This window comes from Homo sapiens, chromosome X (assembly GCF_000001405.40).
Source record: "Homo sapiens chromosome X, GRCh38.p14 Primary Assembly".
NCBI classification, from domain to species: Eukaryota; Metazoa; Chordata; class Mammalia; order Primates; family Hominidae; genus Homo; species Homo sapiens.
Genome location: NC_000023.11, coordinates 18,237,146 through 18,260,633, shown reverse-complemented (window position 1 = coordinate 18,260,633; position 23,488 = coordinate 18,237,146). Strand labels below are relative to the sequence as shown.

Genomic DNA, 23,488 nt, shown 5'->3' with positions numbered 1-23,488 from the left:
TAGCAATGTGAAAAAACTTGTCTTACAGGGAACCTCAAAAAATAAAGTATGTTTTATGGAATAATCTAATTTGGCTAAGGTGTGATTAGTTGGAGCAGGGGTAGGACAGGGAATCCCAGCCATTTGGTCTCTTTCTCCCCTACCTGGACAGTTTGTGGTCCTCTGAGAAGCTCAGTTTGGAAAGTTCTGCAGTTCATGACACACACGGGAGTTTCCAACCTGAGGACTTCTGATAACTAATAATTTTATAAACCAATGATATTTATAATTTCTGACTTTCTTATCTAAGAATATATTAATGAGTATTGTATACTTGTGTTTTTTTCCCTTTGTTTTTAACAGGAAAAACCTTTGCCCGTGATATGTTCTACATCTGCAGCTTCTCTAAAATCGCTGACCAGAGACCGTGGCATGTTATATAAAGATGTCGCTTCTGGGCCATGTAAAATAGTGATGTCTACAGGTAAATTCATATTTTAAAAATAGTATAGAATTACTAATCTTTTATCCTGTATTATTTTCAGTGTCTTCGAAGTCCTGGAAATAAAATAATAAGGGAAAAAGATGGTAATATTAAACATTTATCTTTGCATTTTTCATATTAAAGTATTTTGAAATTCTGATTGTTCCATTTTACATTAAGGAAAAAGTCTTTAAATACATGAGTCACTTGAAAATTCAGATACTCTTAAAGTATTTTATCCATTTAAGTAAGATTTATGCAATTTACATTGTCCAATCTATTCTTGTTTTCCCTTTATCTCATTTCAAAATTTGTCTTTTTGTATGGTATGTATTTTCAAAGCTGCCTCAAACCTTTTCTTAATGCCTTTTAAAAATTATCTCCCTTACACTCTCCTATTCCCTGGACTTTTTTTTCCTTTTAATTTTTCTTTCCTGACTAAAAGTAAATTTAGTTTTTTAAAAATAGAAGTCACTTTAAAAATGATTGTTGTAACATATCTCATTTTTTTCAGTTTATTATTTCTGATTTTTAATTAGCAGGAAAGACTAGCTAAATGGATATAACACAAAGGAGATAAAACATTGAAATCCTTGTTTAGCTTCGCTTGTGTTCAGTAGAATTTGTCCATGTCATCAGCACCGTGGGTTGAATTTTTAATAGCTATTTCATTTCTGAAGGATAACAGTCCTTCCTCTGGCTGTTGCCACAAAATTGAATTGTATATTTCAACAGAGCAAAACTGAGATTGATCAGTTTTCTTATACTAAATATAGACTATGTGTGTGTGAAAGTTTTGCAATATTAATTAATGGATTAAAAATAACATGCTTCTTAGGGGGACAATTTATTTTATTTTTGGTAGTGATGTGCCCTCATGTTTTGTTTCTTTGTTGTTTTTTTTTTTTTTGAGACAGTCTCACTTCATCACCCAGGCTGGAGTGCAGTGGCGTGATCTTGGCTAAATGCAACCTCTGCCTCCCGGGTTCAAGTGATTCTTCTGCCTCGCCTCCCAAGTATCTGGGACTACAGGCATGTGCCACCACACCCAGATAATTTTTGTATTTTTAGTAGAGATGGGGTTTCACTATGTTGGCCAGGCTGGTCTCAAACTCTTGACCTGAGTTGATCCGCCCACCTTGGCCTCCCAAAGTGCTGGGATTACAGGCGTGACCAACTGCGCCCAGCTTCCCTCATGTTTTTATAGTGTATATTGATTTGCATTTGTTGATTCTCAGTAAAGAAAATTATTGGAAGTTGGCATTTATGTGATTATAGATGAATTGCTTCTATATCATATGCTTTTATTATACTAAGGAAAGAGTTTATTTTAAAATTTTCTTCCATGAATCTTGGTATATATAGAAGGAACATTTTTATTTTCCTAAAATTAATAAAATATTAATATATATCAATATAACTTGTTATATATATCTTAAATTGTTTGGTTACTTTAGAAAATATAATTGAGGTGCAGTATTGGTGATTTAAAATAAATTCAGTCCAAAAAAGAGCATAGCAAGATGACCCGTTTTGAAAGGAAATTCTTGTACTGTGTATACAATTAAAAGATGAAAATATTCATCTGTCTTTGTGCCATTTTATATAATGTGGGAATGTATGAAGAATTGTTTTTGTGATGTGCCTAAAATGTCTGTAGATTTTATATCATCAGTTTGGACAAGATTCTAAAAAATTGAATAAACATTTTGATTGTTTCTTTGTGGGTTCAGTGTCTTTGCATCAATGTAAAAATATATTTACATATTTTTAGGTAGCAGAAATGATCATTGATATTAACTATATTTAGGTTTTCTGTGAGTGAAGTGGATAGTGGGATATAGTAATTGATTATGTAGTGTTTTCACAAAATTTCTTTTAATCAGTCTCATTGTTATGTATGCATACGCATTTTTTCTCAAGTCTGTGTCTATGTAAACAAACATGGAAACTTTGGCCCTCATCTGGATCCCAAGAGAATCCAGCAGCTGCCTGACCACTTCGGCCCGGGCCCGGTGAATGTGGTGCTTCGCCGGATTGTGCAGGCCTGTGTGGATTGTGCCCTTGAAACTAAAACTGTTTTTGGATACCTGAAGCCAGATAATCGTGGAGGAGAAGTGATAACTGGTATACTTATCTAATACATTGTCTAATTCAGTCCCTTCCCCCTTCCCTTCCCCCTTCCCTTCCCCCTTCCCTTCCCCCTTCCCTTTCCTCTCCCCTTCCCCTTTCCCCTCCCCTTCCCCCTCCCCCGCCCTTTCTTCTTTCTTCCTTCATCTTTTTAGAACAGGGTCTCACTCTGTCACCCAGGCTGGAGTGCAGTGGTGTGATCTTGGCTCACTGCAGCCTCCACCTCCCAGGTTCAAGCGATTCTCCCACCTTAGCCTCCTGAGTAGCTGGGATTATAGGCATGCGCCATCATGCCTGGCTAACTTTTGTATTTTTAGTAGAGACAGGGTTTTGCCATGTTGCCCAGGCTAGTCGTGAACTCCTGGCCTCATGTGATCTGCCCACCTTGGCCTCGCAGAATGCTGGGATTACAGGTGTGAGCCACCGCACCTAGCCTGTAATATTTATTATATTAGTATAATAGAACATTTATAGGAGTTATATGTTTATAGACTTTAAGCCCTGGTTTGAAAAGTTTACTTTTAAAATGGACAAATGATGTCAGAATAATGTAAATTGGGACAAAAGTCACAGATTCTTCGTTTTACATGCTGTGTTAAGCTCACTATAGGCAGAGTACCTTGGCTGATAATATATTTTATCTATAAGAAGCTCTAAATAAATATGTGACTCAAGAAGTCACTAAGCAATAAGATAGTGTTGGTGGCTATGATCAGACACCACAACATTCATACCCATGGAATATTTGGAATAGAAGGAAGTGTTACATAGATCAGTGAGTTTCTGTTGTTGTTGTTGACTTAAGAGTATTTTCAAATGAGGATGTTTTTACCAATACAGGCTATTGTGTTTGAGAGGAGCTTTTATAATATAAGATCATTCCTTTATGAATTACAAAGAACACAAATTAGACTTATAATACCTTTCCTAAGGTGATAGTTTTTTTTTTAATTAGTGTTGTATTTCTCATCTCTCTGAGGTTACTGACATCCTTTTTTTTCCCCCAATAGCCTCCTTTGATGGGGAAACTCATTCCATCCAGCTCCCTCCAGTGAACAGTGCATCATTTGCTCTTCGCTTTCTTGAGAACTTCTGCCACAGTCTGCAGTGTGATAACCTTTTGAGTAGCCAGCCTTTTAGTTCTTCCAGGGGTCATACTCACAGCTCTGCAGAGCATGATAAAAATCAGTCAGGTGAGAGAAAATGTAAACTCTTACACTTCTGTTTCACTTGAGAATCTTGTGTAATTGTTTTTCCTTGTGTTCTCCTCAAAGTAAACATTTTAGCCACAGTGAACTAATTAGAAATGTATAACATATAGTTGTTTTTGTTCATTCAAAATAGGAAAGTAATTTCTTGTATTCATAATGAACTTCAGAATCAAAGCCCATGGCTTACTTATGTTTGGCTTCATTTTGACTACCTCACAGAGTTAAACATTCTCTATTAGACTGAAGTATGGCTTTAAAGTTACTGACTTTTATAATCCTCAGAAGTTAGCAAAGCGTGTTGAGCCTATTGGCTATAAAGATAATTTTGTTGTCATTGAGGTTTGACAAATGATGATACGGTTTTGTTGTTGTTTTTGGAGACAGAGTCTCACTCTGTCACCCCAGGCTGAAGTGTAGTGGCACAATCTCGGCTCACTGCAACCTCCGCCTCCCAGATTCAATCGATCTTCCTGTCTCAGCCTCCCGAGTAGCTGGGATTACAGGCGCCCACCACCATGCCCAGCTAATTTTTGTATTTTTAGTAGAGACAGGGTTTTGCCATGTTGGCCAGGGTGGTCTTGAACTCCTGACCTTAAGTGATCCTCCCGCCTTGGCCTCCCAAAGTGCTGGGATTTACAGGTGTGAGCCTCCACACCCAGCCTGTGATATGCTTGAATTTGACATTTGAACCATGGTTGCTTCTCTTCCATAAGAACCCCAAACCGATGCCTGAATAAAAGGGTAGGTGTAAGATAGCCCTGTAGAACCAAAAGTGGGTTTCTTGCTTCTGATCCCTAAAGCAAGAAAGCTCTTTCAGCTTTTATGCAAGTGCTGTTTGTTTTTTGGGAGTGGTTTGTCTCTTTTTCATGTGACTCATGAAAGCTAACTGTGTTCTATTGATCATGGCAGGATTGTATGTGGGTCTTTTAAGAGTAGCTGAAGTTCTCAGGTGTTATTGCCGCATGGTTTTCTGGCCAGCTGCTGCTGATTCTGGAAATACAGAGTACCATCACAGACTATCTTTTTAAGTCCAGGGATTCTAATTCACGTGCCACTCAAGTGTGAAGCGTGGGTACCACGTCTCTAGCTACTACTTTTTTTTCTGGTCCTCCTGGTTACCCTCACCCTTCTTCATAAAGCTTGTCTCCTCTACTTCAGTGACATCTCTCATATCCATCCCCTTTTTTCCATTTCCTTGTTACTACCCTGCTTCAGACTGTACTAACCCCTTCTCTGGTTTAGTAAAGCAGGCTTCTAACTGGAGTCCTCTTTCCAGTTTCTCCCCTCTGGTGTAGCTGTCCAGTGAGTCCCTTTGAAATAAAGGTATGATACTGTGACATGCTTGCAAAAAGTATACATGGAGAAGCAGTGGCATGGAGAGCACAGGTGTTGGAGTTTGTCAGACCTGGGTTCCAATCCTGGCCTTGTAATCTCTGCTGAAAGAGTATAAAGTCTGACCGGCCTACATTTTAATTCAGTTCCTGCTGTTAACTAGCTATGTGCCCATAGACAAAGTACTGAGCCTCTCTAGTTCTCAGTTTCCTTATCTGCAAAGTGGATACCTCTTTGGTTGTGAAATTGAAAGAAAGTATATGTAAATTCTTAGCCTGCATTATGCCTGGCATGAAGTAGGAGCAATAAAAGGTAGCTGTTAGAACTAGGGGGAAGAGGAAGAGTGAGGTTTCATGTTTTCATGTGATATTATCCTTTTTTTTTCCTTCTTCAGGAGAGGTAGGAGGTCATCCAAAATGGTAGGAAATTTGGAAGATGGCTAGGAAGGGAAGGGCCACCTGTGTGGGAAGAGGGGTGTCTGTGTATTGATAGGTTTTCTGTTTCTAAGAGTAATTTGGGGAAAAATACGAGTTGGAGATGTTGAGAGTACAATTTCCTGATTTCTTTTTTTTTGGACACAGAGTCTCAGTCTGTCACCCAGGTTGGAGTGTAGTGACACCATCTCGGCTCGCTGCAACCTCCGCCTCCTGGGTTCAAGTGATTCTCTTGTGTCAGCCTCCCGAATAGCTGGGATTGCAGGTACCTGCCACCACGCCTGGCTAATTTTTGTATTTTTAGTAGAGGTGGAGTTTCACCTTGTTGACCAGGCTGGTCTCAAACTCCTGGCCTCAAGTGATCCTTCCACCTTGGCCTCCCAAAGTGCTGGGATTACAGGCCTGAGCCACCATGCCAGGCCCAATTTCCTGATTTCTTACACAAAGCATTAAGAATGCCAGTAATTTACAAAGCCTCATTCTTTGAAAGATTTTAAAGAAAATGTAATTCTTCTTTAAATTGAACACAAAATGTTTGAATTTTCAGATTAATCAAATAATCAGAATAGGTAACTATTTGAAAAAATACACTGAATAATCCACATATTTTACATTATTTTAGGGGTTATTAATTTTCTGTCACAGAAAGCTTAATTTAGCCATTTGAAAATGGCTTTGAGTTGGAACTCTTATGTTTTTCTTAAGTCAGCTTGTAGTTAAAGAAGTTGCATATAAATGCTATGAGGTTATTACTAAGATTTCACGTCTAGTATCCCATTTCTCTTACATTTTTTAAAATAAGTGACTCAAAAATAGTTTAAGATAGAGTGCTCTTCTTAGGAGACTTTGATTCTGACAAATCTAGTGTTTGCATATTTTAGCAGTAATTTTGAAGACATTTTACTGAAGTATAGTATACATAGAGAAAATTATACATGGAATGTAGCTTGATTAATTTTCATGCCTGTATAATCAGTCACTGGTTGGAAAAGTAGCTATTACTAGTACCCTAGAAGCACTGCTAATGTGTCAAACCCCCTTTAATCCACTACTACCCCTCACTTCGCACAAGGATACCTACTGTCCTGACTTCTAGTACCATATATTACTTTTGCCTATTTTTGAACTTTATAGAAATGGAATTATACAGCATTTACTCTTGTGCCTAGCTTTTTTGGCCTATCATTATGTTTGTAAGTTTCATCTGTATTGTTGCATATAGTTAGATCATTCATTCTCATTGCTGTATAATATTCTGTTGTATAAATATGCTACCATGGTATGTATCCATTTGAGTGCTTTCTGTTTTGTGCCCTTATAAATAGTGTTATGTTTTGTACTCTTATAAATAGTGTTATCATGAACATTCTATACACGTCTTTCTGTTCCTGTATCTATCTTGGAGGGAATTGCTAGGTCACAGGAAATGCATAGATTAAGCTTTAGTAGATACTGCCAAACAGTTTTTCAAAGTGGTTGCCTCAGTTTACTTTCCTATCAGCTCTCTGCTTTTTTAAATAGATTATAATTCTTAGGTGAAATTTTTTATTCTTTGATCTTTTCTGTCCATTTTTCCTGTTTTCTTGAACATATTCATCAAAATTGCGTTATAGTCTTTGTCTACTGACACCAGTAGTTTTTCTCTCAATAGTTGGTTATATGGTCTTACTTCTTTGCATGTTTACCACTATTTTTTTGTATATGGGACATTGTATATAAAAGATCTGCAGAAGCTCCAGATTTCTACCTTAAAAAGTTTCCTCTTTTTTAAGCAGAAAGAAGGAGGGCTCATTCCATTCAGTGATTGAGCTGGGTTGGGACTGAATAGCAGTTTTAGTAAGACTCAGTCTATCTCCTGATTCCTCGCTATTCTTCAGGTGTTACTTTCCCAGGATTTTGATTGAGAACCTGGGAATTCCCTAGCTCCTTAGCCTTGAAAGACTGGGGAATTGTACTTCCCTTCTTCAGGGGTTTGCTGCTCAGCTCTTTAGCCTTCTTCCTCATGTATTATCACAACTTTGCACCTGTGTTTAGGTGGCTTGTGTGTTTGCCACAAACACACAATAAAATAAAGACCCCCTGGTGGGTCTTTATTTCTTAAGCATCATGAGACTGTGAGAGATTTCAGCGTGCCTTTTAAGAGTTTTCAGCCTAACTCCCCAGCTTCCTGTATAGCTCCAGAACTTGGCAAATATCCCATGGGGGAAAACCAGCTGAGTTTGAGTTTCTGATTTGTCACTCCAGCTGTGTGAAGCTGCTAAATCTTTTTTGATTTATTTTTGCCTAGGTATGGCCCTCTGCCTGTGTCAAGTTCTATTTTCACTGTAGTGCCAAGAATCAGCAGATTCCTACAGGGAAAAAATATGACGAAATCTTCAGTTTAGACTAGAATGGTTCTTCCCTTCTGGAATTGGATTTTATTAGTTCCTATGACTGCTATACTTTGAGGATGCTTTTCTTATAGTAACTTTATTGAGATATAATTCACATACCATAATTTCACCCTTTTAGAAGTATACAATTCAGTATTTTTTAAGTGTATTCACAGAGTTGTGCAGTCATCACCACTGTCTTCATCACCCCCAATAGAAATCCCATACCTATTAACTATCATCCCTCAATGTCTTTTCCCCCTCACCACTGGATACCATTTATTGACTTTCTTCTGTCTTTATAGATTTTCCTATTCTAGACATTTCATATTAATAGAATCATATAATATGCAACCTTTGTGTGTGGCTTCTTTCACTTAGCATAATGTGTTTTGTTGTTTGTTTGTTTTGTTTTTTTGAGACGGAGTCTCGCTCTGTTGCCTAGGCTGGAGTGCAGTGGTGTGATCTTGGCTCGCCACAACCTCTGCCTCCTGGGTTCAAGCTATTCTCCTGCCTCAGCCTCCTGAGTAGCTGGGACTACAGGTGCACACCACCATACACAGCTAATTTTTGTATTTTTAGTAGAGACGTGGTTTCACTATGTCATCCAGGCTGGTCTCGAATTCCTGACCTCAAGTGATCTGCCCATCTTGGCCTCCCAAAATGCTGGGATTACAGGTGTGAGCCACTGTGCCCACCCTATGTTTTCAAGGTTCACCCATGTGGTAGCATGTATCAGTGCTTCATTCCTTTTTATGGCTGAATAATATTCTATTGTATGGCTATATTATGTTTATCCATTTATCAATTGATGTACTTCTGGATTGTTTCCACTTTTTGGCTATTAGGAATGCTGCTGCAATGAACATTTGTATATAAGTTTTTGTGTGGATACGTGTTCTCTCAGGTACAAACCTAGGAGTGGAATTGTTGGGTCATATGGTTAACTCTGTTTAACTTGATGAGGACCTGACAGACTTTTCCAAAGAGGTTATACCATTTTACATTTTCATCAGCAGTGAATGAAAGTTTCAATTTTTCCTTTTAAACACTTGTTATTGTCCATCTTTTTCATTATACCCATTCTAGCAGGTGCGAAATGGTATCTCATTATGGTGTGATTTGCATTTTTCCAGTAGTTGATGATGAGCATCTTTTCTTATGCTTTTTGGCCATTTGTATATCTTCAGAGAAATGTCTGTTCGAATCCTTTGTCCATTTTTAATTGGTTTCATTGTCTTTTTATTGTTGAGTCATAAGAGTTCTTCGTATATTCTGGATACAAGTCCTATATGAGGTATATGCTTTGCATGTATTTTATCCCATTCTTTGGGGTTGTCTTTTCACTTCCTACTTTTTTTTTTTTTTTTTTTTTTTTTTTTGCAATGGAATCTTGCTCTGTTACCCAGGCTGGAGTGCAGTGGTGTGATTTTGGCTCACCGCAACCTCTGCCACCAGTTTCCAGCAGTCCTCCCACCTCAGCCTCCAGAGTGCCAGGACTACAGGTGTGTGCCCCCACACTTGGCTAATTTTTGTATTTTTAGTAGAGATGAGGTGGCATGGTTTGGCTGTGTCCCCACCCAAATCTCATCTTGAATTATAGTTCCCATAATCCCCACAGGTCATGGGAGGGACCCAGTAGGAGGTAATTGAATCATGGGGGCAGTTACCCTCATGCTGTTCTTGTGATAGTGAGTGAGTTCTCATGAGATCTGATGGTTTTATAAGGGGCTTCCCCCCTTTGCTCTGCACTTCCGCCTGCTGCCATGTAAGACGTGCCTTTGCTCCTCCTTTGCCTTCTGCCATGATTGTGAGTCCTCCCCAGCCATGTGGAACTGTGAGTCTATTAAGCCTCTTTTTCTTTATAAATTACCCAGTCTCCAGTATGTCTTTATTAGCAGTCTGAGAACAGACTAATACACCAGCCTTTTTTTTAGTTCTTTAGACATGATTTTCATTTTTTAGGTCCTTGAAAATATTTATAATAGTTGATTTAAAGTATTTGTCTAGGTCGGGTACAGTGGCTCACACCTGTAATCCCAGCACTTTGGGAGGCCGAGGTGGGTGGATCACAAGGCCAGGAGATCGAGACCATCCTGGCTAACACAGTGAAACCCCGTCTCTACTAAAAATACAAAAAAAAATTGCCAGGTGTGGTGGCGGGTGCCTGTAGTCCCAGCTACTCGGGAGGCTGAGGCAGGAGAATGGCATGAACCCGGGAGGCAGAGCTTGCAGTGAGCCGAGATCGCACCACTGCACTCCAGCCTGGGTGACAGAGCGAGCCTCCATCTCAAAAAAAAGAAAAAAAAAAATTAGCCAGGCGTGGTGGCATGTGCCTATAATCCCAGCTACTTGGGAGGCTGAGGCACAAGAATCATTTGAACCTGGGAGGCAGAGGTTGCAGTGAGCTGAGATCATGCCATTGCACTCCAGCATGGGCAACAGAGTGAGACTGTGTCCCAAAATAAAGTATTTGTCTAGTAAGTCCAGTGTCTGGGCTTCCTTAGGGACAGTTTCTGTTTACTGATTTTTTTTTCCTTTGTATGGACCATACTGTTTCTTTGCATGTCTCATTTTTTTTTTGTTGAAAACTGGACATTTAAAAATCATATAATGGCAACTCTGGAAATCAGATTCCCTTCTCCCTAGGGTTTGTTGTTGTTGCTGGTGCTGTTTAGTGACTTTTCCTCGACTAATTCTGTAAAGTCTGTGTTTCTTTGTTAAGAGTGGCCACTGAAGTCTGCTTGGTTAGCTTAATGTGGTTAGCTAATGATTGGGTAGATATTTCCTTAAATGCCTGGAACCAGTGTATCTCCCAGCCTTGGCCAAGGGATTTTCTGTGTGTGTTGGGACATAACTTCAGTGCTCCAAGAGGCAGCTTGTAAGTCAACCTTGTGCAGAGCCTCAAGGTCAGCCAGAGATGAAAGATTAGGGTGTTCTCATGTCTTTCCTGGACATGCATGTATACATCTGTGCATATGCATGTGAACCGTCTAGATTCCCAGGAATATGTTTGTGTTTTTCAAAGTCTCCTAGGGGACATCTTATACCCAGTTTTTCCTTTTAAGCTTTTTGGCCAGCCTGTTGTTAGCCCTGACTGGTAATATTGTCTCAGGCAGCTGCAAAGTTAAACAGTTGCCACCATTTTCCCCCGTCAGATGCCCTGGAGATGGGGTTGTTCACACAGAACAAGCTCTAATTTAGGTCAAAAAAAGACAAACCCTGAAAAGGAGCTTTTCAGTGAGCTTCGAGACTGGTCTAATAGTGATAGTTCTCTGGGCATGGGGCTTTTGGAGAGCTCCAAACCCATTGTGCCCCCTCCAGCGATTATCGCATGGCTGTTTTTCACACCTGCTGTAGTTGTGAAGTGTTGGTTTTCAAGGCTACTGTGAAAATGGGGTGAGGGGGATTATATTAGGGCAAGTTAAAATGCCACAGAATTTGCTGTTTTTTTCTGAGATCCATCCATTTTTCTTAAACACTTTGGATTGTTGCAAGTCTTTAATTTCCAGAGTTTTGAAAAAGATAGTTTTTATAGTTTTTGCCAGTGTTTTCATTGTTTTTATGAAGGAGTAGATTTTTGGAGGTCTTTGATCAGTCATCCTGGAAGTGCTTCTCTGATGATTTAAAAAATACTTTGTAAATTACCTGGCTTTTCCTAGTTATCTCTGTAGGAACACTTTGCTCCCTTAGCTTACTACAATACGCAGAAGCAGAAGTCGAGTCAATTTTATATTTGTTTCAGCCCCAGATAGTAGACCATACCCAGCTTGATAAACTTTTCATAAAGCATGAGTACATTACAAATAAATGATGAAGACTTTTTCTAATCTTGCCGAGATTCTGAGGTAAATAAACATTTATAGAAAACTATATTTTAGAACTCGAATATTCCATATTATTAAATGGGTATGAAAAGCCAGTTATTTCTTTCCTTAGAATTTAATGTCTTAATTGTAGAAATATGAGATATGTTTTGCCTGTTGGTTTTACAGTCCATTATTAAAAATGAAACTAAAGTGGTAAGAGCTCTACTGGACTCATTGGGATTCACTGAGTAACTAGATTGAGCTAAAGGTTGCTCATCATAAGATTTTGAGAAGCATGCCTGGCCCTCAGCCAAAATTTTGAACCAGATGAAGTTTGACTTTGATACTCATTGCAATCTTTCTTCTCTTTTGAGGTCTACTATCAGACTTTTTAGATTTCTCTTACACCTTATTTGTCCTTTTAGTTGGAGGTTAAATCAGGATATTTGTTGATACTTAGGGTATAACTGATAATTAAAGCTGTCTTTACTTTCAGGATCATGCTTTACGGAGTGGTCCTTTAGGTAGAAGTGCATTTGGTTGAATGATAAGTAAGCAGTAGACTTGTTTTAAGGGTAGCTCTAGGCCAGGATTGTTACTTAACAAAATGGATGTTCATTATATTATATCATTTAATTTCTCTGAAGTTTTAACTCCTCTGGCTCATGGGAACAATTTTCTCAGGCCATTTTAGACACATTTTAATGGGTTGCCTCACTGTCTTGTGAGATATTTAGAGAGATCTGATAACCTCAGAATAAAGAAGCCTAGATATGCTCCTTCTGGAAATGCTTTTAACTCTTGAATATTATTTCAGTGAAAATATAAAATAGGATGAAATAGACACATGTTATTCATGAACATCAAATAATTGAGAAGTTCTCAATGAAGGTATTGTAGGCAAATGATGTAGAAACAGAAGTGTTTCATGCTGATGATATGAAAATGCTTGAGTATATTAGTTCGTTATAACAGACAACTGTTTTTTCTTTGAAAACAGCAAAAGAAGATGTAACAGAAAGGCAAAGCACCAAACGATCTCCTCAGCAAACTGTACCATATGTTGTTCCTCTCTCTCCTAAGCTCCCCAAAACAAAGGAGTATGCGTCTGAAGGTAAATAGCATTTACACCTCCCAGGACTGGGAAGAAATGTTTCTCTGCTACCACTTATGTATACTCTTGGGGTGGTAGTATTGGAGGTAGGGAGGTAAATTTGCCCAAACAAGTTTGGCAGTTAGGCTACTACTTGGACAGCTTTGTTGAACCCTTCATTCCCTTCAGAAGTGGACGGCTGTCATTTCTCCATAGATTAAAAAAAAATTGTAATAACCTTTTTCCTTCACTTTTGTATTGCTAAAAACTGGCAGAAAGAAGAATAGAAAAACCTACTGCCTTTCTCCAGAGAATGTAACTGCCCAAGTAGTAAACAAATGTTAGAAACCAACTGTATGATCATATTATAACAAATAGTAATGAAGAACTGCATTTCTAAAAACAAATGCTTCAGTGAGGTGTTTATAGCCTTGGTGGCAAGACTGGCAAATGATAGTAAGTTACTATGAAAAATATAGGTGATATGGAATCACTTTGGACTGTAGGACAATGTCCATTAATATAAATGCCAAGGAACGCCAAGTCGGGTGGATCATCTGAGGTCAGGAGTTCGAGACCAGCCTGGCCAACATGATGAAACCCTGTCTCTACTAAAAAAAACCCAAAAGATTAGCCAGGCATGGTGGCAGGCGCCTGTACTCCCAGCTACTCGGGAGGCTGAGGTAGGAGAATTGCTTGAACCCAGGAGGCGGAGGTTGCAGTGAACCAAGATTGCACCACTGCACCCCAGCCTGGGCAACAAGAGCAAAACTTTGTCTCAATCAATCAGTGTATGCATCCATACCAAGGAGGGGATAGCCATGAACTTTGTGTTAGAGCATTGTGGTTCAGTATAGCACAAGTTAAGTGAACTATTGCTAGGGATGAGATTTTTAACCTTTTAGTAGTATTTGAATTGTAAGTCTATTGAAGATAGCCTCCTTTGTCTTTTTCCCTGTAGGAGAACCATTGTTTGCTGGGGGAAGTGCCATTCCCAAAGAGGAGAATCTTTCAGAAGATTCTAAGAGCTCATCACTAAATTCAGGAAATTATTTGAATCCTGCCTGTAGAAATCCTATGTATATTCATACTTCAGTCTCCCAGGATTTTTCTCGAAGTGTGCCAGGCACCACAAGTTCACCACTAGTTGGGGACATATCCCCCAAGAGCAGTCCCCATGAAGTTAAATTCCAAATGCAGAGGAAAAGTGAAGGTATGTTCAAAAATAGTGACTCTCAATGTGTTTGTCTTTTGCCTTGAGATTTTCATACCTAACAGCATCCCCTGAGAGTATCACATTGGAGAAAGTGCTAAAATTTGGGAGGCTGAGTCCTCTCTTTCACATCACTGTCAGGTCAGACCATTATGGATCCTCCAATCCTCTTGACAGCACAGAACTGTCTCTAGGGATCTGGATCACCAACCATGTCTCTGATAGAGACTTCTCAGATTAGTAGTGCTTGAACAGTTGTAATTTATCATTTCCTTGGGTACCGTCTGGACTCACAAACCTCTCATGACTCTGAGGCCTGGAAAGACAGTCCCTCTCCTTTCTGTTGTACACTTTTCTTCGTCTCTCTTGAGACATTCCTGGCCTCAGCCTGTGTTGACTCCTGGATTCGGGCTGGCATCTTGTTACCACAGCCACACCATTTCCTCACTCTCCACATCCTTCCTCAGACCCACCAGGAAGTCATGACATGTATAAGTAGGGCAATATCCTGTTGCCATTTAGAAAGAGCCAGAACAGGCCAGGCGCGGGGTGGCTCACACCTGTAATCCTAGCACTTTGGGAGGCCGAGGCAGGCAGATCACCCGAAGTCGGGAGTTTGAGACCAGCCTGACCAACGTGGAGAAACCCTGTCTCTACTAAAAATACAAAATTAGCTGAGCATGGTGATGCATGCCTGTAATCCCAGCTACTTGGGAGCCCGAGGCAGGAGAATCACTTGAACCCGGGAGGCAGAGGTTGCAGTGAGCCGAGATTGCGCCATTGCATTCCAGCCTAGGCAACAGGAGTGAAACTCCATCTCAAAAAGAAAGAAGAAAGAAAGAAAGGAGCCAAAACGGCCTTCCATGTGCAAAGAGGGCTAATACCCTGTACCTTTGAAGGATTAAGGGTACAGGAGAGTGAGGGTGGGAATAAGTGTTTTGTCCTTTTTCTCCAGGTAGGCATGCAGGCGAGGTTGAGGAGTGAAGGAAGTGGGAACCCTTGCCTTTGATCATGGGTGTTATCTATGGGCAACCACACTGTGCACACACCATGACACATTTAATGTTGTCAGCCCCATCCCCTCTGGAGATTGTCTCTGCCTTTAGAGTGACATAGCTTGCAGAGTCTAACAATAGATGCTTACTCCATAATGGCTAGTATACCTTGCATTTTAAAGTATTTTCACAAAGTATGACCTTTTGGCGATAGGCTTTCTCAGTATAAGGTTACTTCTAATGGTGAATATCTCACTTTGAAATGTATGTCAAACACTAAGGTAGCCGGTATTGGGGCATCAGACGGCTAGCTTCTGGTCTTCTTAGCAATGTAGAGACTAATAGTAATAACATTGCTTTCTAGTAATTTACTTACTGGTAATAGAAATAATCATCATCTTCATCACTATCTGATGTATGCCAGGGATATAATATTTCATATGGCCTCCTACATTATATTGTTACAACAATTCCTTGAAATGTAGGTGCTGGTAAGCATTTTCAGGTAAGAAATTTGAAGTCATTTGGCTAAGGTTCCTCAGCTAGAAAGTGGCTGGGCCAGTCCTTGAGCTCAAACACTCTGACTCCAGGGTTGTACTCTTAACTTCTGTACTCCTTGCACCTCCCAAGAATAGATACGCATTTCCATTAGAAACTGTCTAGAGGTGTCATTACTATTATTTTTAAGGCATTTGAACTGTTACCTAGAGCTAATTCCACTCCTGACAGCCAGTGATGCTCACACAATTTCCTGTCCTGCCTTGTCCCATTATTTGAATGAAAAATATTGCTGATCTTTATTATAGGAAAGAAATCCAATGATGTCGAGGGGGGGGGATCAGATCACTTTCATACTTTCATTATATTTATTCTAGAAATATTTATTGATATGCCAGTGTATATAAGACAGAGCCGTTCAGGAGAAAAGCATGACTGGACTTTGATTATTTTTCACATGATTAGTTTGTTTCATGTAATTATTTGAATAACAATAATGTAATGCTTGCAAACTTCTCTGATTGTTTTGAAGATGTAGGCCCAATTAAATTATATTTTCATAATAGACTAAAAATAGAAAATCTTATGGTTTTATTTTTAATATAAAATTTTATACCCCAAATCATATCTTTTTACATATAGTTTATTTGCAGTAAACTGTAAAACTAGTTACATGTTATTCAAAACATAAATGTACCAGATTATGATGACAGAAACCAGAAATTCCACAAAAATGTACATTAAATTAGAGATATGATTAGCTTTGCCAATGATTTTTTTCATGTTATGTTGTGTCTTTGTTAAGTTAAAGGAGATGGTGTTTCTGTCTAAATTGTCAGAATGCTAACTTAGGCACAGCATGGTCTACACCATCATCATTTTTACTTGGGTTGATACAGCCTAGCAGAATTTCTCTGTAGATATGACCAACATTTTTTTCTCTGAGTGGAGGGGAGAATATATTTTGGTATAGAGTTTTTATTTCACATCATCGTTGTGATGTTGGAAAGAAATAAAATTCAGAGCTACACACAAAAAATTAACCACTATAAGTTCTTTTATTTTCTGTTTTTCTTTATCCTTCCCCTAGGTAAATATACTTAAAATGCTTCTAAAATGGCCATAGTCCAGAGGATAGGAAAGAAAGGGTACTCCTTTGGCTAATTCACACACAAAAAAACATCAAATTTGTGTTGACAGTCCTTGGTTAGCAAAACAAATCTTCCTAGCTAAGTACAAAATTCACTTCAGTTATCCACACTAACTTTAGGGAGTTAAGGGCTCTGGTTGAGTAAATGAATACTTGTCAGGACACAGATTTTATCACAACTTAGTAAAGAGCACAGCTAAGACCATTTGAGGTATGAGCACTTAAATTGTTTCATGTCTCAGTTATGTATTTTTTTAATGTATAAACCTTCAACCAAAATATCTATTACTATGCAATTAAACATGATAAAGGAGTTAAATTAAATGTTAAAGTTATTTCTGACCTAGCTTAGCAGAAAATAATCTTGTCTTCTTCAAAATTCAGATAAGCATTTAAGCCATGAGAGACAGGAATCTAAAGAGTAAAGTGATGCTAAAAATATTCTTATTGGATACATCAGAGAGATTTGGTAAAAGGACTAATTTGTTTATCAAAAATAATGGGATTATTGAAATTCTTTGATTAAAGTGAACACATTTAAGCAATTAGAAAACTAAATTTAGCCAGGTATGGTGGCTCATGCCTGTAATTCCAGCACTTTGGGGGCCTGAGGTGGGCAGATTGCTTGAGTCCAGGAGTTTGAGACCAGCCTGGGCAACATGGATAAATCCTGTCTCTACAAAAAATATAAAGATTAGCTGCAAGTGGTGGCATGTGTCAGTAGTCCCAGCTACTTGGGAGGCAAGGTGGGAGGATCACTTGAGCCTGGGAGGTCAGCGCTGCAGTGAGCCATGATTGTGCCACTGCACTCCAGCCTGGGTAACAGAGCGAGACCCTGTCTCAAAAAAACCAAAACAACAACAACAACAACAAAACAAAACAAAAACTAACTGTAAATTTGGGGAATTTCCATCGGATTTAGCTAGTAAAATATACCTAGTCTAGACAGATAGAGAGAGATTGAAATTCCTTGAAAGACTTAAAGTAAGAGAGAAGTCATAGGTTAGATTAGATTAACCTAATTTTACCCGAGTAACAGATCTTTTGCTGTATTTGTCTGTGGCCAAAGAGGCTTGGATTGCTTAGTCTGTTTTGTGATCTTTGAAGCTTTAAGGTAACGTCTGAACCTGCTTTTGTTGTTTGGGGGAGGTCAGATGGGATGCTCTTATGTAGCCATCCTCACATCATTTTTGTATAAGCTTTCACAGTTGGAGTCTTGAGACCTTGTTGGGGAACTTAACAAAAGGTTCCAGGAATGAGACCATTATTCCCTACCTAACATCTCTTCTTTCAGGATAATGATCAGGTCAAGTATGATTTGTCTTTTTTCCCCCCCATTGAAGCTCCAAGTTATATAGCTGTACCTGATCCCAGTGTCCTGAAACAAGGCTTCTCTAAGGACCCTTCAACCTGGTCTGTGGATGAAGTGATACAGTTTATGAAACATACAGATCCTCAGATATCAGGCCCCCTCGCCGACCTCTTCAGGCAACATGTAATGTATCTTTTGATCCGGTTTTCCTGCCGTAATGCCTTTGAATGACCTCTGTGCAGGCCCTTCATTTGGATGCTGTGTGGATGGTGGGGGAACCCTATCAACTGATTTTTCCATATGTGAGAGAGGTTATTTTTCCCAAGATTAGTTCCTTAAATGGTAGATTAATGGTCTGTTCTTTAAGTGAGTATCCAGGTGCCTAAAATACAAACTGCTTCAACTTCTCAAGATACGATGATTCAGCATTGCAACTCTCAGGTGTACCTTCCCTTTGTGATGACAGATACAAGGATCCTCCCCGACCTGCTCCCAGCTCAGTGCCAGAACCATGAGTAGGAGGGGTTGACCACAAGCTATTACAGGGTGGCCTTCCTCCAGTGAATCCAGCAACTTTATAAGATTAAGTACATCCTTTTAAACAGGAACTCACAAATACCAAATAATATGCTTCCATGACATAAATTGATTAAGGTAATAAAGAATTTTAGGAGGATGCCTTGTGACTATTAAGTAATATTTTCAGTGTTTTCTAACAAATCAAATGAGTGATCTATTATCTGAGGTACCCTTTTCACTATCGCAAGAAAATCAGTAGTTTTAGCATCTAACCAGCTTCAGACAACTAACTGATTAGCCTTCAACATAATGACAACACTGTATAGCACATTTACAGTTTGCATTGATATTGACATATTCCTGGCCCTTCTCAGAAAGTTATTGATCATCTGAAATTCATTTCTACCATTCATAATTTTTGATCTTTTGTCATAGATATATTTAGTATTTTATTTAACACACAGTATTTAAAGTCAGATTGTTTGATACTTGGGACATTTTTTGAAGATACAAGATTAAATTTTCTTAAAGTTTGAACTAAATTCATAAATTATCAAATGATGCTTCACTGTATAAATTATATTTTTAATAGTTTTCAGGAAATAAAGCATATTCAGAGAATATATATCCGGAGTATACAGCTGCTGTATTTTACATGTTCTTATGTATAAATAATTTGATATGAAAGCATTATTAATGATTATGATTTCCTTCTCTCTGTAGGAAATTGATGGGAAGGCTCTGTTCCTACTCAAGAGTGATGTGATGATGAAGTATATGGGGCTGAAGCTGGGGCCAGCATTAAAGCTGTGTTACTACATTGAAAAGCTTAAAGAAGGAAAATACAGTTAAAAAAATGTGTAAGTTTAGATTGGACATAATTCTCAGGTGTACTGTTAACATTTTAATTTAAAAGTATTTCTCTTAGCAGTTTTTGTTTTGTAGACAGTTCCCATAAAAATATTTTATCAGAATTGCAGAACTGTAGTAACAGTTCAGTCAACTTTGTTTTTTTCCTGGAGTCACCAACCAGCTTTGGGAGACACAGCCGCCACTCCCCCAGTCTACTTCTTTAAAAAGCATTTAACAGGTTAGTATTGGCATATTCAAATTGGCAGTTCTTTATGTCTTTTTAAATTTTCATTGTACAGTTTACAAATATACTTAATGTAGTTAACAGAGAAAAACCTTTGATTTTGGTTAACCTTTATATCTAGAACCAAAACAGCTAAATCCCAAAGGGGAAAATATCAGGGATTGACAACTTCTATAATTAAATCCATGAGAATTTTTCCTCACTAGAGAATTTAAAGGTGCACCTGTAGATATCATCTTTTCTCAGATATTTTGTGTGATACTCTGTGGTGTTCTGTTCATGTTCTATCAGTATATCTAGAAAGGGAATAGCCATATAAATTATTTTCCTTTTATTATTTCTCTGTATGTTGTATTTGATCATATTTAAAGGAAAAAAGCAAGCTTATAAGCTTTCATGAAGTGTTCTTACCAGTTTTTGATAAATTTTTTAAATTATAGGATAGAATTGTCATTTTATGCAGGAGATATTTATACTACGAGGGTTGTTTGGATGGAGTCAGATTAAATTTTTTCAGTGAAATTCCTATTATTTTAAAACTTTCCATATTTTCACTACGCTTGGACATTTAACTAGGCATTCTTTTCTTACATCTCTATATGAAGATACCTGTGTCCAAAATTTTTGAAGATATATATTGTATGTGTTTATTCTTCATATGGTACTTTACCATATTTATATATTGTTTTATACCTGTAGGTTTACACACAAGTAAATCTTTTTTTTCTTGAATTTAATCTGGCACTTTGCACTGCCACAGAGGTGACGATGAACTATGTATATAGTTAGATGTTTTGATTTCGTAAAAAATATATGTCCATCGTTTGCTATCACCAGTACCTCTCAGCTTACTCTTCAGGGGATATGAAACAATCTGTAGATTGGTTTCCATACAGGGAAGTTCTCTGTCCTATGCAATGTTTCTAATTAATTTGCTTAGTTCTGAGCCATTTATTCTGCTACACTTTGAAAGATATATTAGTTCTGACTTATTGTTTGGGGCTTTATTTTATTTTTATTTTTTTGAGATGGAGTTTCACTCTTGTTGCCCAGGCTGGAGTGCAATAGCTCGATCTCGGCTCACTGCAACCTCGCCTCCCTGGTTCAAGCAATTCTCCTGCCTCAGCGATTACAGGAATGCACCACCACGCCCAGCTAATTTTGTAGAGATGGGGTTTCTCCATGTTGGTCAGGCTGGTCTCAAACTCCTGACCTCAGGTGATCCGCCCACCTCGGCCTTGCAAAATGCTGGGATTACAGGCATGAGCCACCATGCCCAGCCATGTTTGGGGCTTTATTTTATAAGTTAGAACTTTGAAGAGGAAATGGTGCTATATGTTTATTGTTATTACTTTGTGTAACTTTGATGTAATGTTTATAAGCTATGAGAATCAGTTATAAAAGTATTAGCCATTTGTTGTAAATGCCAATAAAATATTCACCAGGGGCAAGAATGTACATTTTCTTTTTAGAAAACCAAATGTACTTTAGACATGAATGCAACTATTTAAAGAATAGCTTCATTTATGTTATTCCTTACATGTCATAAGATTCTTACTTAAACTTGGTCTTCTTTCAAGTTGTTTGTATGAAGATGCTGTACCCACTTGAACAGTCCTCAGGTGTTTACATAAATACTATGTTTTACAGTTTTCATATTTTAAAATATTAATAAAGTTAATCGCAACGATTCATTCAAAGCCTCAGATGTGATTTTATTTATCATTAACTGCATTACATTAAAGTGTCTATTTGTTGGAACTGAAACAGAGCCACTCTAGTAAGCTTATGGCTTTCCATGTCCAAATACTTGAGTTTTAAAACCTGCCCAGATTCTACTGCTAAACAGATGCCTAAGAGCCAAGGGCTGATTTCTTACAGGGGTCTTCAATGAGACCCCAGGGGGGCTGTAAGAAGTTCAGTCGATGAGCTGTATCTGTACTCAGAGCCTTTGTTATTTATGATATCATCAGTGATGCGAGAGTGCTAGAAAATGCCCGTGCCCCGAGATATCTCATCCCATCTGAGCCTGTACGCCTGGCTGGCAACTCCAGCTGCTCTTTTACCACTGGGGGCCAGAGGCCGCCTCCTGGATGCACCTGCTCTTGGCCCTCTGCCTTCAGATGGCCCAGCTGCCCCGGTGGGATGCCCTTGGAGGACTGGGGTTACAGTTGCATAGCCTCACTTATCCAACCCCTACCCCCACCCCAGGAGTTGCGGCTCCACCCGAGGAACCCAGAAACCCTCACTACTCTTGCTCCCCAGCAGCGTGTCCTGTGATTCACTGGAGACAATGGGGCCCTGACCGAGGCTCCGGGGGTGATGCTCAGCGGCTGGAATGGGGGTGTCGATTTGAGTGATCTGAGACTTGAGTGATTCGGGGCCCCCTTTTTTCTCCTATCTGGCTTGTAGACTTTTAGTCTATAGACTATCATGCCATATTACCCTTCCTGTGAATTTTCCAGACTTGAAATGATCTTCCTCTAGCTTTGCCTCTCATTCCATCCTTTGATGCTTTGTAGCCTGCAGAATTCTGCATCTTGAGCTCTAAGACCTTCCAGGCACACCTAGCATTTGCTTTGGTCTTTCGTCTGTGTGATTTCTTATTGTTGAAATGTCTTACAGTAAATGTTCTAGAGTGGGATTTCCTGAACTTTTAAACCAAGGCCTCCCTCTGTAGGCATAGAAACACCATGCCCTTCTGTAATATTCAAAAGTAAAAAGTAAATACTGTGAGTAGTGGCAGTGTAATTGGGAGGAAAAGCACTGCTTTTTCAAGCTGCAGAAGGGATTGTCCTCGCAGTTGGCTGAGTACATGAAGTAGGTTAAAATTTCTGGGGCTATAGCTGGATGCTGGGGCTTGCTCACAAAGTCTCCTGAGGCTGATCCAGGCAATGTGGGAGAGCTTTAGGTATGAGAGGATGTGCAAACGAGAGCCCACCGTTGGAATACGTGGCGGACAGTCTTTCCTCTCTTCTGTTTCCTCTCTTCTGTTTGCCCTATTTTGTCAGCAGGTTGATGCCACTAAACCTTAAGAACGACACTCCATAGTTAGCACGTGCTCAAATTGAGCTTGGCCACTCCCCCTGCTCTAACAGAGGCAACTCTAGTGTTATGGGATCACCTTTCTGCCTTTAGGGATACTATCAGCATTGAGGGGAGATCTTTAAGAAAGAAGGGACCTAGCTCCTCCCCTCGAGCTGCCTAGAACATAACAGACAAACCAGCGTTCATGAAAAGGAGAACATCAGGGCACTTATGACAGAGCATATGAGTCAGTGCCAAGTGCCCATAAGTGACGTGTCCTTATGTATCAGTAGTGGTGTGTCCTGTTCTCCTGCCATAGAACTGAAGCACTTAAGCACATGCATTTGTGGAAATAATTCCTCAGGGACAACGGGGCGGCCAGGGCAGGGTTTTGGCCTTGCCAAGCCCTGTTCCTCCTTTGGCCTCACTCTTCCACCTGGCTTTGGCTAGCCTTGGAGGCCCAAGTCCACTAATGTCAGGGGCGAGGTGGGTGCACATATTCCACGGGGGCAGAAATCAGTCCATTGGGAGCAGGACACATATCTTACAACTTCCTTTTATATTCATGTAAGACGAAAAAGATTAAGCTTCTCTGCAGTTAATGTACGGAGTCACTGATGTGTTCCAAAGGGCTGAACATTGTTGGTACTTGCCACCATCCCAGCCCTTCTTGGTTCCTCCCTGTCCTTAGAGGCATAAAGCCTGGACGCGACACTTGCCACACTCCTTTGCCAGTAGACCTGGATTCTTAGATTCTGCCCCAAGAGACCCTGTGCCCTGATTTGGGGAGGAGGGAGGTGAGGAGAAGCTGCTTCCTTCTGGTGGCTGCACACG

General features: G+C 39.2%; 1 protein-coding gene across 6 annotated transcripts in view; it reads left to right on the top strand.

The window, feature by feature from the left end:
* The window catches only part of SCML2 (Scm polycomb group protein like 2), a 115,806-nt gene extending 94,485 nt beyond the window's left edge, over positions 1-21,321 (top strand). For 4 of the 6 annotated variants that reach the window (XM_017029219.2, NM_006089.3, XM_017029220.3 and 1 more), the window contains 7 exons: positions 343-463; positions 2,387-2,590; positions 3,604-3,786; positions 12,752-12,865; positions 13,806-14,057; positions 18,044-18,195; positions 19,255-21,321. In XM_017029219.2, coding sequence (XP_016884708.1) covers positions 343-463; positions 2,387-2,590; positions 3,604-3,786; positions 12,752-12,865; positions 13,806-14,057; positions 18,044-18,195; positions 19,255-19,383 — 1,155 coding nt within the window. In that variant the 3' untranslated portion in view covers positions 19,384-21,321. The remainder of the gene's footprint in view (positions 1-342; positions 464-2,386; positions 2,591-3,603; positions 3,787-12,751; positions 12,866-13,805; positions 14,058-18,043; positions 18,196-19,254) is intronic. The other 2 variants (NR_033717.2, XM_006724458.1) reach the window with 2 other exon arrangements.